The following is an 11,146-nucleotide window of genomic DNA, read 5'->3' as shown; positions in this document are numbered from 1 at the left end:
GTACAGTGAGATGCAGTGAAACATCACATTGTACTCCACAAACGTGGACAATTATGTTAATTATATGATGTTTCACTTCATCACACTGTACCACATACACTGTACAGTGATCCAACCAGAGTAATTAGCATATTTAACACTTCAAACATTTATTTCCTTGTGCTAATAAAGTTCAAAATCCTCACTTCAAGCTATTATAGAATAAAAGGTACATTATTATTAGCTATAGTCATCGTGCTGTGTAATAGAACACCAGGATTTATTCTTCCTAACTGTAACTTTGTAACCCAGTGACAAAGCTCTCCCCACTCCCTCATCCTTCTGCCATCACTAACCTCTGGTAACCACCATCCTACTGTCTACTTCTATGACATGGACTTCTTCAGATTTCACGTGAGTGAAAGCACGTGGTCTTTTTCTTTCTGTGCCTGGCTTATTCCACTTAACATAATGTCCTCTAGGCTCATCCATGTTGACAAAAATGACAGAACTTCATTCTGTTTTATGACTGAACATTATTCCTGTGTGTGTGTGTGTGTGTGTGTGTGTATAACATTTTCTTTATTCATTCTGTAGATGGGCACTTATACACTGTTGGTAGGAATGTAAGTTAGTACAATCATTTCCCATTTCTATAGGGAGAACAGTATGGAGGTTTTTCAATAAATTATAAATAGAACTACCATATGATCCAGCAATCTCATTGCTGGGTTTATATCAAAAGGAAACAAATTAAGCACGTCAAAAAAGAGAACTGCACTCTCATGTTTATTAAGCAGTATTCAAAATAACCCAAACCACTATTTCTTCTAAGTATTTCTTAATTTACCTTTTTTTCATATATTACACCCTAAGCTTTTAAAGGTTTCATGTCTGGTTTCCAATTTCTGAAACTTACGAGTCACTGATTCTTTGTTGCCTTCCTATTTAGAGAGTCTGGTAAAACAATTAAATGCTTTTTATTTCTTCTCAATCTAATCTTCATATATAAATATATTTATATTTTCTATTAATTTGCCTTCTATAACATATATGACTACATTAATTGTGATCAGCATTTCACTTTACAGCCCTCTTTTTGGCTCAGCCTATTTTAATATGTAATTTGTATGTTGTACATTAAATTCTTTTACAACACTTTCAATACTTTACTTTTCATTTGCCTCGTTTCCAAAGATAGCTTGACAAGCTCGTAGTTTCTTTCCACATTATTTTGGTTTCTTGTTTTTCCATTATATTGACTTAAACATTTAAATATAAATTCAATATCTGAGATTTATGTGCCATATAATTTCTTCTGATGCTTCACCCCAGTAGCTCATCTCCTTGTGTGCAACATAATTTATAATTTAATCCTCATATATGGGAGACACCGCATTCCAATGCCTGCAGGCAGTTTCTCTTTGTTTATTTCATTTGCCTTGTCAGAAGGGAACAACCCACATGGACTTGACTTTCTTGTAATCAGATGCGTCTGAGTGGTGCCCTGGCCTCTTAGGTTGATTACTTCTCTGGATCATTACCTTTATTTACTTCCAGTCCTGGGAGGTTTTCTTAATTTCCTTTCAACTATATTGGGCATTCTGTGAATTCTTGTAACTTCTTGGTGATTTTAATTGTCTGCATTAAGTGTTTAAAGTATATTATTTTTCTGAAAAGCAGAAATATCAATAATTGCATATATGAGTGAAATATTTTACATAGATTTTCTATGGCATCTATCACCATGAGAAATTCCAAGTTTTTTTCATTTGAAACACCCCTCTCATCAATAGACCATATTGTAATAATTTGTAGAGTGTGATTACTTTTATACCATTAGAAAATTAATTATATATTATGTACATATTTTTGAAATACTCCACTGCAATAAATAGTATATGGTTAGAAGTATTGTTTTCTCTAACATAAAACTAATATGAGTAAAATTATCTACCTGAATTCAGACCTTTTGGCTTCAATGGCCATTCTGCCCCATTAGTACTTCTCTGATCCATAAAAGACATCATTTGTATTTTTTGTTTAATTCATAATTTATTGAAATGAGTAATTTAAGGTTATAATGTTTTATGGCAATTTAGGACATTTTCAATAAATATATTGAGCTCGAGGCCCTGGCTAAGTATTCCTTTTGTACACAAAATCAGATTTTTCTGGCACAACTTCATTGCCTGCAATGGTATTTATAAAAAGTATGAATGCCAGCACATGGACTATTTCAATACTGTACTCATTTTTTCATGTATAAACATTTCATTAGCTATGAAACAAACCAAATACAAATGCTGAATGTACAGTATATATCAACAAATGCAGATTCTTCACCAAAGAAAACAATAAAAGATGAATTTTCTGTGACATGTCACCTGTTCATTAGTTCTTTAATATGATTTAGGCTATCCCAAATATAAGAAAATGTATGCATCACTATTCATGTTGTCTCAACATTTTTTATCTAGGTCCTGAAGGACATAAAAAAGAATGTACATTGTCAGATTTATTTTTATAGATTTTAGATGTTTCTTTTGCTGTATTTTCTGTGCATACTACTATGAATATATGGAGACAAGGACAAATGAGCATTTAAGTGGTTATATGAATTTTGCTTATATGGCTAATTGCTTATATGGATGTTGTAAATGACCAGATAAAATAGTAAAGTTTGATAAACTTATCTGTACCCTGTGAACTTTAGTTCACTTACTGTATAACTTAATTCAGTCACTAATAATTAGTTTAAAAAGTGTTTTTTTAAAGCTGCAAACCACATTTTATTACACATTTCTGAATCAGGAAGGGGTAAACTGTGACCCAGCTTTCTTATGCCACTGACTTTTTTGGGGAGAAACATTCTGCAATAAAATAAGAGTCTCCAAACTCTATTTATAAAAAAAGCTTGAGTTTTCTTCTGTGATTAACCTTCACTCCTCAGTCCCTTTTACCCAAGGAATGGTTCCTAGGTCATCTTTTGGAAGTTTAGTTTCTGGAAAGTTTTCAGCAAACCTCTCCTGAGCTTTGTCCCAGTTGTTGTTGTTCTTGTTTTGGAGAAGGTGAGTCTCTTTAATTGAGGATGGTTTGTCTGTCTCCAATCCTGCATGTGTTTGCCAAAGCTGAAGCTGTATTGGAGATTTTATTCTCCCACCATCCCTCCCCAGGCCTTCTCCTGTTTTCAACACATCTTTTTCAACATCTTCTGACCTTTGTCGCTATCAGTAATTTCAGAATGAACAGATTCAGGAGCATCATCTCTTTGGAAATTTCCTTCACTTCCAATCTGCTCCCTATGTTTTCCAGCTCTATCTTTATATTTTTGATTCTCCAGTATTTTATCATCTTTGTAATCTGTATTCTGTAAACCATATTTTACTCGTATATTTTTAAAATCCTTTTCTTCTTTCCAACTCGTTTCCTTCTTAGTTAATGATGGACCAACAAATGATTCATCTTTCTTATCAAGGAAAAGGTGAGCTCTAACCTGCCCTGGTTCACATCCAACACAGCTATTACTGCCAGGGTGAAAGTAATAAGATAACACAGTGTCTCCAACTTTCACTTTATCTCCATGCTCAGGTTCATAATGGTCACATTTAGTTTTCAGCTGAACAATCCATTTTCCATTAACAAGTGTTCCATTTTGACTGCCTGATCCAAAAGGACATAACTTTGTAAGTCATGGTCAAAACAGATTTCTGCATGAAACTTACACCAACTTCAGGGATTCGAAGAGTATTCTTCATATCATTTTCTCTTCCAATTGTAGCAGGTTTTACAACAGTAATGATGAAGAATGATCCTGTCTGTAACACAAGTGATCTCATGACAATTACTCTCGTATATGAGGGCCACAATTTTTCCTCATCTTCCTCCGCAGTATCTTTTGCAGTTGCATTGCCTTTACTGGTAATGCCTTCATCATAACTACCCTCAGTCTGAGAGTCCGTAATTTCACCTTCTTCTGGTTCACTAGCAGTCTCTGTGATTTTCTCATCCTTAAAGATGAATTGAGCTGTTTTCATTAAGAGGAGATTCCATAGGATTTCCACTAACTGGAACAGTGAATTTTGGGGATTATTTTTGTGATGAATGCCTATTTTGGCTTTTTTTTTTCACATTTGTGAAATTGTCTTTCCCGTTGCAGCTTGTATGTTCAACACTGAAGGCTTCTTGATCCTCTGAATTCAAATCCTTTTCCTCATTGTTTTTTTGTAGAAGAATCTGGATCCTTTCTTTTCTCAATTTTTCATTTTTGTTTTGTGCTATAAGTCTGATAAGGTTGCAAATCTACTCGAGAATGAAATCGATAGCGACCACTTTCCACATCACAGTAGTAATAAATTAAATGATAATATATTTGATTCTCAGAATCTTAATAAAAACCAGTGCTGTGGTCAAAATACAGTCCAGTATTTTCATCATAACTAAATCCAGTCTGTGATAAAGCCGCTTCTGCTGCAGCTCTCAAACTTTCAGCTAATGACGAAACTTCTAAGGACGTATCTTGTGCTGCTAATGCAGATGCTGGCTCCTGTGAATTTGTGGCAAATGACCCTGTCTACACTTAACATTTGCTGTCCTATCAGTACCAGGGTGAGCATCATTTTTTATTTATAACTTGTCGTTAGAATTCAAAGCAGGACTTTCAATATCCTGATCTTGCTGATTTGACAGTTCAGTCACTCACTTTATTTGGAAGACTAACATCATTACAGTAGATCTGATAATAATCTGAGATTGACCAAGGAGCATGGTTCTCTGTGAGTACTTCTACATCAGACTTTTATTATCTCCATTTCTCTCACAGCAGAGTACATTACTGAGCTTTTCTTCCAGCTGCGTGCAGAGCTCCTGGTGGTTGCTCGTGTCGCTCTGAGCAGCCGTCCTGTGCGAGGCCATAGCTTCTCCTGTTCCCGCACCTGCCGCCTGCAGCTCAGCGTTCGGGTTCCAGCTTCTCTGCCCTCCTTCTCCGCTGGGCCAGCTCGGGCTCAGGGAGGGGGAGGAGCGGTCACAGCGAAGGCGCTGGCGGCGGGTACGGGCAGAGGCCGCGAGTTCGGGCGCCAGACGGCTGCGGCCTTGGAGGGGCTGCGTGGGGCCGAAGCGGGCGCCGGCGGAGCCACAGGGGCGCGCGGGCAGCCACAGGCAGCCTCCCCGGCCAGGAGGCCCCGAAACGCAGAGCCTAACGGGGCTGCGGCAAGAGCAAGGGAACGGTGATGGCCCTGCCGGATCTGCGTGCCTGGAATCCTGGGAACGACTGTACCTTCCCCAGCCACGGGGGCCGCAGGAGGAGCGTCGAAGTCCAGGGGCCAGAAGTGCTCCGGCCGTTCCCGAGTTGAGCTGGAAACAGTGGCCAAGTGTGTTTTAAATTGAGTTTCCATGTGGCTAGCTATGACCTGCTGGTTACTCTTATTTTTTTCTCCATTCGTTGAGCTATGATTGACTAATTGAAAAGCGTATATTTTTAGGGTGTACAATAGAGTGTTTTGAGATGTCAGTAGTCTTTAAATTACCTCAGTTAAGCTAGTTAGCCTATCTATCCCCTCACATAGTTAATACGTTCCTGTGTGTGTGGTGAGAGCACCTGAGATCTACTCTTGTAGCAAATTTCAAGTACGGAGTATTGTTAACTATAGTCACTATTCTGTACATTAGGTCCCCAGCAGTTACTCACCTTGTAACTGAAGGTGTGCCCCTTCCATGGATATCTCCCCACTTTCCCCACTTCCTAGCCCATGGGAAGCACAGTTCTACGGTTTCCATGGCTTTTTTTAAATTTTTATTTACTTTTTTAGATTTTACATACAAACGAGATCATGCAGTAGTTGTCTTTCTGTATTCGGCTTATTTCACTTAGCATAATGTCTTCAAGATTAATCAATATTGTTGTGGATGAGTTTCATTTTTATTAAAGCTGAAATTATGTATGTCTCAGTTTATCTGTATCAGAGGAGTGCAGATACCCTTGATGATCCTGATTTTATGTACTTTGGCTATATACTCCTAATTGGGATTAGTGGTAGTTCTAGTTTAAAAATTTTAAGGAATCTCCATACTGTTTTTCATAATAGCTGCACCAATTGACATCCTCAGCAACAGTGCACAAGTGTTCTCTTTTTCCACACCCTAACACTTTTTATCTTTTGACTTTTTGATAATAGGCATCCAAACACCACGATAAGGTGATACCTCATTGTGATTTTGTTTTTAATTACTCTGAAAATTAGTGATGTCGAGCATTTTTTATATACCTGTTGGCCATTTGTATATCTTTGGAAAAATTGCTATTTATATATTTTGCCCAATTATTAATCAAGAAATTGCTTTTAATTCTGCTGTGGGTTTTTTGTATTGATTAGTATGATGTATATTTTGGATAGTAACATATTACCCTATATATGGTTTACAAATATTTTCTCCCATTTCCTATATTTTGCTGATTGTTTCCTTTGTTGTGCAGAAAGTTTTAACTTTGACATAGTTCCACTTGTTCATTTTTGCTTTTGTTGACTGTGTTCTTGGTGTCATATCCAAAACATCATTGCCATGACCAGTGTCAAGGTTTTTCCCCATTTTTTTAAGAGGATTCATGATTTCAGTTCTTATGTTTAAGTCTTTATTTCATTTCAAATTCATTTTGTGATGACATGAGAGAAAGGTTCACTTTTTTCTGTGCATATCTAGTTTTTCCTACACCACTCCTTGATGTGTTTATCCTTTCTCCATTCTCTGGGATTGGTTGACTGTATATTTGTGAGTTTATTTCTGGGTCCTCTATTCTGTTCTATTGGTTTTTATGTAGGTACTATACTATATTGATGACTACAGCTTTGTAATATAGTTTGAAATCAGGAAGTGAAAGGCTTTCAGCCTTTTTGTTCTTCTCAGTATTTGGCTATTTGAGGTCTTTTGTGGTTCCATACTAATTTTAAAATTGTTGTTCTACATTTTTAATAAAATGGCATTAAAATTTTGATAGAAGTTTAACTCTGTAGATCACATTGTGTAATATGGATATTTTAATAATATTAATTTTTAGAATCCATGAACACATAATATATTTCCCATTTTGTATTTTTCATTTTCTTTCCTCAACATTTTATAGTTTTCAGCCTGCAGATCTTTCATATTCTTTGTTAACTCATTCTTAAGTATTTCATTCTATTTGATAATATTGTAAATGGAACTATCTTTATTTCTGTTTCAGATATTTTGCTGTTACTGTAAAAAAATGCCACTGATGTTCATATGTTAATATTGTATCCTGAAAATTTACTGACTTAGCTGTTTAGTTATAACAGGTTTTTTTTTTCTGGTAAAATGGTGGGTATTCTGAATTCTGGTAAAATTGATAGTTGCTATTATCATTTCAAAATTATTTAAAATATGACCAGATGGATTCCTGCTTTCATGAATTCAATGGAATTCAAATCTTCCCATTTGAAATAATTTTGTCTGGTTGACCTAGGCCCCGGGGATCGGGGGCACCCCTTGAGAGCCCGGAGATTCGCTTGGGGGTGGGAGGGAGAAGCCGTCAGAGAAGGGGCTGAGCTGAGGAAGCGGAGAGGGGCTCCGGGGACAGCCGGGAGGAGAGAAGGTCCTGTGAGAGACCCAGTGGGGAGAGAGAATGGGCCAGAAAACGAGGAAGGGTGAGAGTGAGCAACAGGACGGCTTCCCGGCGCGGTAGGGAAATTTGCTGAAACTGCGGGCCCCAGGGAACAGCACGGGCAGGGTGGGAGGGAGTGGAGAAGACCCAGTACACCCCAAGGTCAGTGTGGAGAAAGGGACATTTCCCGGTTCCTTCGCCTCTGCCCAGCGTTCTGCGGGCATGGCCCCCACAGGGGCAGGGCAGGGGAGGAGGTGGCTCCTGGCAGGCTTGGAGAACTAAGGGGCGCACACCAGCTTCGCAGGGCCAGGGTGACAGGGGAAGCCTGAGACGGCTGCGGATCTTGCTGGCCCAGTGAGTGGGCGCGGGGAATGCGGGAGGGGCCGACCTCACCGGGCCAGCGCCGGGGCCTGCAGGTGACCCTGGAGGAATCTGCAAGCACCCACCCGTGCAGCGGGCCTTCCGGGAGACCAGTGTGGACAGCGCCCTGGACACGCCCTTCCCATCTGGAACATTTGTGAGGCTGGAATTTAAGCTCCGGCAGACAGAGAACTGGCCGGAGGAAGGACTGGAAGAAAGCCAAGTGCAAAGTCCAGCCTGAGAGGAGGAAGCAGAAATGGCTGACCTGCGTCAAACTGGAATATGAGGATAAGGTTCTGGGCAGGATGGTTCGCTGCCCTCCAGAGACACAGACTCGGCGGGAGCCTGAGGAGCACCAGGAGGCCGGGTGCAGCTGGGCAGAGCGGGCGGTGAAGACCCCACAGCTGCTGCTTCCCTGCACAGTTCGCCTTCTCCAAGGCCTAGCCCCCAGCGGAGCCCAGTACTGAATCTCATGGCGCCCCCTGGAGCCCTGGTGGGGATAACCAGTGGAAGACCCACCTCCCAGGGAGAGGACCCCATTGTATCCCCAGATAATAAAACTGTTCTCTCCCCCCAAAAAATAAATAAATAATTTTGTCTGGTCTTTGAAAATGTGTATCCTCTGTGTTCTGGTCCAAATCCTGCCCATTTATCTATATGCCTAATTAGTCAAACTTTTTAATGAAGTTATTTAGCATTCTTTTTAATTATGAAACAAAGCAGTAAATTTGTTAATGGTTTTAATATCATCTAATATGATTGAAATTATGTCAATTTGTCATTGTCAATGAATCTTTGTGTTATTTATTTTACTCTGTTACATATTCTGTACATAAAGGTCTAAGTGGCTTAGAATCTTGCCTAACATATTTTATGTGCTAAGTACTAACTACTCTAATTCATCAAATTATCTTTCTATACCATTCTTAAAATACAATATTATTTTTTATTTATTTTTGTTAAAATTTTTTTGCCTAATCTAATTATTTATGAAAATTATGAGGTCTATTCAGTTTGTCCTCTGATAAAAGCCAAAGTTTTTTTTTCTCTCTTTTTTTTTGAGACGGAGTCTCTCTGTTTCCCAGGCTGGAGTGCAGTGACACAATCTCAGCTCACCACAACCTCTGCTTCCCGGGTTCAGGTGATTCTCCTTCCTTAGTCTCCTGAGTAGCTGGGACTACAGGCATGCTCCACCATGCCCGGCTAATTTTTGTATTTTTAGTAGAGACAGGGTTTCACTATATTGGCCAGGCTGGTCTTGAACTCCTGACAACGTGGTCCGCCCACCTCAGCCTCCCAAAGTGCTGGGATTATAGGCTTGAGCCACCACGCCAGGTCTCTTTTTCTAAATCTCTTTATTAATACGTTAGAGAGTACAAATGCAGCTCCCTTACAGATGCATGTTGCATAGGGATGAAGTATGGGCTTTTGGTGTGACAATCATCTGAATGTTGTTTATTGTCCCCATTAGTTATTTTCTCATTCCTAAACCCTCTCCAACCTCCCATCTTTCTGAGTCTCCAGTGTCTATTTTTCCAGTCTCTATATCCAAGCATATGCATAATTGAGTTCACACTTGCAAGTGAGAAAATACAGATTAGATTTTCTGTTTCTGAGGTTTTTCACTTACAGTAATGGCCTCTGGTTTTATTCATGTTGTTGCAAAAGACATGATTTTATTCTTCTTCATGGTTGAGTAGCATTCCTTGGTATACTTGTATAACACATTTTCTTCATTCGATTATTGATTGATAAATTTAAATTGATTTCATGTATTGGCTATTGTGAATAGTGTTGTGATAAACATGTGAGCATGGGTATTTTCTTTATGTAACAAATTATTTTCCCCTGGGTAGATACCAAGTAGTGGGAATGCTGAATCAAATGGAAGTTCTATTTTTAGTCTATTTTGAAATCTCCATACTGTTTTCCATAGAGATTGTAGAAAGTTACTTTCCCACAGACAGTGTATAAATGTTATCTTTTCTCTGTATCCTTGCCGATAGCTCATTTTTCTTCTTTTTAGTAATAGCCATTCGGCATGGTGTAAGTTGGTATCTCATTGTGGTTTTTAATTGGCATTTCTCTGATCATTGACAATGTTGAGCACCTTTTACGTACTTGTTGACCATTGACCTTCAGTGTCTTTTTTTTTAATGTTCATGTTCTTTGCTTGCTTTTTAATGAGGTTACTTGTTTTATTTTTGTTGAGCTGTTTGAGTTCCTTGTATATTCTGGACATTAGATCTTTGTCACATGCGAAACTTGTAAACGTTTATCTTATTTCATAGGTTTTCTTTTCACTGTGTTAATTAAAAAGCTCATTTTCAGGAGCTTTTTAGTTTGAGTTCCTTTTGTCTATTTTTGTTATTGTTACATCTGCTTTTGAGATCTTAGTAATAAATTCTTTGTTCAAGTCAATGTCTAGAAGAGTTTATTCTAGAGTTTCTTCTAGCATGTTTATAGTTTCAGGTCTTGCATTTTAGTTTTTTAACACATATTGAGTTGATTTTTGTATATGGTGGAACATGGGGGTCCCATTCCGTACTTCTGCATATGGCAATATAATTTTTCCAGCACAATTTATTGAATAGGATGTCATTTCTCCAGTGTATGTTTTTGTTGACTTTGTAAAAGATCAGTTGTTTGTAGGTATGTGGCTTTATTTCTAGGTTCTCTATTCTGTACCATTGATCTTTGTGTCAATTTATATCAGTACCATGCTGTTTTGGTTACTACAGCCTTCTAGCATAATTTTAAGTCAGATAATGTAATATCTCCAGCTTTATTCTCTTTGCTTAGATTTACTTTGGCTATTCAGGCTCTTTTTGTGGTTCCATGTGAATTTTAGTGTTTTTTTTTCTAATTTTATAAAAAATAACATTGGCATTTTGGTAGGAATTGCATTTAATATGTAGATTGCTTTGGGCAGTAGAGTCATTTTAACGATCATAATTCTTCCAATCCATGAGCATGGGATGTTTTTCTCATTTGTGTCATGTACAACTTCTTTCATCAGTGTTTTGTAGTTTTCCTTGTAGGGATTGTTCATCTTTTTGACTAATTGTATTTCTAAGCATTTTACCTTTTTTGTAGCTATTGTAAAAGGAAGTGACTTTTTAATTCAGTTCTCAGCTTGATCATCATTAGTGTATAAAAACGCTACCAATTTTTGTACATTGACTTTTG

At 38.1% G+C, this 11,146-nt stretch overlaps 1 pseudogene; it reads right to left on the bottom strand.

The window, feature by feature from the left end:
* Positions 1-2,828: 2,828 nt before the first annotated feature.
* LOC102724937 (angiogenic factor with G patch and FHA domains 1-like) lies at positions 2,829-5,372 on the bottom strand (annotated as a pseudogene).
* Between the last annotated feature and the right edge of the window lie 5,774 nt (positions 5,373-11,146).

The sequence above is a fragment of the Homo sapiens genome (genome assembly GCF_000001405.40).
Source record: "Homo sapiens chromosome 14 unlocalized genomic scaffold, GRCh38.p14 Primary Assembly HSCHR14_CTG5_UNLOCALIZED".
Lineage (NCBI taxonomy): Eukaryota > Metazoa > Chordata > Mammalia > Primates > Hominidae > Homo > Homo sapiens.
Note: the sequence above shows the minus strand (reverse complement) of the source record. Positions and strands in the feature narration are given on the sequence as shown.